We start from the raw sequence: 3,019 nt of genomic DNA, 5'->3' as shown, positions 1-3,019 counted from the left end.
TATTTACCTTTTCAAGAAACCAGCTCTTTGTTTCATTTAATTATTGTTTTGTTTCAATTTCATTTAGTTCTGCTCTGCTCTTCCTTATTTCTTTTCTTCTGCTGGATTTGAGTTTTGATTGTTCTTGTTTTTCCAGTTCCATCAGTTGTGACCTTAGATTGTCTATTTGTGCTCTTTCAGGCTTTTTGATGTAGACATTTAATGCTATGAGGTTTCCTCTTAGCACCACTTTTGCTGTGTCCCAGAGGTTTCGATTGGTTATGTCGCTATTATCACTCAGGTCAAAGATCTGACCCAATGATCATTCAGGAACAGGTTATTTAATTTCCATGTATTTGCATAGTTTTGAGGGTTCCTTTTGGAGATGATTTCCAATTTTATTCCACTGTGGTTTGAGAGAGTACTTGATATGATTTTGATTTTTAAAATTTACTGAGACTTGTTTTCTGGTCTATAATAGTATCTGTCTTGGAGAATATTCCATGTGCTGATGAATAAAATAATTATTCTGCAGTTAGTGGGTAGAATGTCCTGTAAATATCTGTTAAAAACATTTGTTGTAGGGGATCGTTTAAGTGCATTGTTACTTTGTTGACTTCCTGTCTTGACAACCTGTCTAGTCCTGTCAGTGGAGTATTAAAGTCCCCCACTATTACTGTGTTGCCATCTATCTCATTTCTTAGGTCTGGTAGTACTTGTATCATAAATTTGGGACCTCCAGTGTTAGGTGCATATGTATTGAGGATTTTGGTATTTTCCTGTTGGGCTAGTCCTTTTGTCATTATATAATGTCCCTTTTTGTCTTTTTTAGCTGCTGCTGCTTTGAAGTTTGTTTTGTCTGATATAAGAATAGCTACTACTGCTCACTTTTGGTCTCCATGTGCATGGAATGTCTTTTTACACCTTTTTACCTTAAGTTTACATGAGTTCTTACGTATTAGGTGAGCCTCCTACAGACAGCAGAATCTTAATTGGTAAATTCTTCTCCATTCTGTATCTTTTAAGTGGAGCATTTAGGCCATTTACATTCAACTTTAGTATTCAGATGTGAGGTACTTTTCTTTTCATTATGGTATTTGTTGCCTGAATATCTTGGGTGTTTTTCATTGTGTTATTGTTATATAGGTCCTGTGAGATTTATGCTTTAAGGAGGTTCTATTTTGGTGTATTTCAAGGATTTGTTACAAGATTTAGAGATCCTTTCAGCACTTCTAGTAGTGCTGGCTTGGTAGTGCTGAATTCTCTCAGCATTTGTTCATCTGGAAAATACTGTATCTTTCCTTTATTTATGAAGATTAGTTTCACCAGATACAAAATTCATGGCTGATAATTGTTTTGTTTAAGGAGACTAAAATTGGGAACCCCCCCAATTCCTTCTAGCTTGTAGGGTTTCTGCTGAGAAATCTGCTGTTAATCTGATAAGTTTTCCTTTATAGCTTATCTGATACTTTTGCCTTACAGCACTTAAGATTCTTTCCTTTGTCTTCACTAAACGTAACCTGATAGCTATGTGCCTAAGTGATGATCTTTTTGCAATGAATTTCCCAAGTGTTCTTTGAGTTTCATGTTTTTGGATGTCTAGATCTCTAGCAAGATCAGGGATGTTTTCCTCATTTATTCCCTGAAATATATTTTCCAAACTTTTAGACGTCTGTTTTTCCTTAGGAACCCAAATTATTCTTAGGTTTGGATGTTTAACATAGTCTCAAACATCTTGGAGGCTTTGTTCATTAAAACTTTTTTTTCTTTGTCTTTGATGGATCGGGTTAATCAAAAGCCTTGTCTTTGAGTTCTGAAGTTCTTCTGCTTGTTCAAGTCTATGGCTTAGACTTTCCAGTACATTTTGCATTTCTCAATGTGTGGCCTTGATTTCCAGAAGTTTTGATTGTTTTTTACTTATGCTGTTTTGCTGAAGATTTTTTTTTCATATCATGTATCGTGCTTTTGATTTCCTTAAGTTGGACTTCACTTTTCTCTTCTGCCTCCTTGATTAGCTTAATAATCAACCTTCTGAATTATTTTTCTGGCAATTTATAGATATTTTTCTTGGTTTGGATCCATTGCTGGTGAGTGGGTATGATCTTTTGGGGGTGTTAAAGAACCTTGTTTTGTCATATTTGTCAAATTCAGCCCTGATATTTCAACTTGGGTCCTTTTCTATTTTCCCTAAGTGTCGGCCGGTCTGAGAAATAAAGAGAAAGAGTACAAAAGAGAGAAATTTTAAAGCTGGGTGTCCAGGGGAGACATCACATGTTGGCAGGTTCCATGATGTCCCCTGAGCCATAAAACCAGCAAGGTTTTGTTAGCAATTTTCAAAGGGGAGGGAGTGTATGAATAGGGTATGGGTCACAGAGATCACATGCTTTAAGGGCAACAAAAGATCGCAAGGCAGAAGGTCAGGGTGAGATCACAACATCAGGGCAAAACTAGAATCACTAATGGACTTCCAGGTCCAGCTGTGCATGCATTGTCATGATAAACATCTTAACAGGTTTCAAGAGCAGAGAACTGGTCTGACTAGAATTTGCCAGGCTGGAATTTCCTAATCCTACCAAGCCTGGGGGTGCTGCAGGAGACTAGGGTGTGTTTCATCCCTATCTACATCTGCATAAGGCAGACAGTCCCAGGGTGGCCATTTTAGAGGCCCCCCTGGGAATGCATTCTTTTCCCAGGGCTGTTAAATATTAATATTCCTTACTGGGGAAAGAATTCAGCCATATTTATCTAACCCGTTTTTGGAAATAAGAGAAATATGGCTCTGTCCTGCCCGGCCCACAGGCAGCCAGACTTTAAGGTTATCTCCCTTGTTCCCTGAAAATCACTGTTACCCTGTTCTTAAGGTGCCCAGTTTCATATTGTTCAAACACACATGATTTATGAACAATTTCTGCAGTTAACACAATCATTACAGGGTCCTGAGGTGACATATATCCTCAGCTTATGAAGATGATGGGATTAAGAGATTAAAGTAAAGACAGGCATAGGAAATTATAAGAGTATTGATTGGGGAAATGATAAA

General features: G+C 37.4%; 1 annotated feature.

The window, feature by feature from the left end:
- Window positions 2,190-2,740: an enhancer, noted in NCBI's record as "OCT4-NANOG hESC enhancer chrX:108387340-108387890 (GRCh37/hg19 assembly coordinates)". NCBI's record gives its function as "activates a minimal SCP1, AML or CMV promoter by ChIP-STARR-seq in naive H9 embryonic stem cells {active_cell/tissue: H9 hESC(naive)}" and the evidence as "EXISTENCE:reporter gene assay evidence [ECO:0000049][PMID:30033119]".

Source organism: Homo sapiens, chromosome X (assembly GCF_000001405.40).
Source record: "Homo sapiens chromosome X, GRCh38.p14 Primary Assembly".
Lineage (NCBI taxonomy): Eukaryota > Metazoa > Chordata > Mammalia > Primates > Hominidae > Homo > Homo sapiens.
This window is presented reverse-complemented; position numbering and strand designations above follow the sequence as displayed.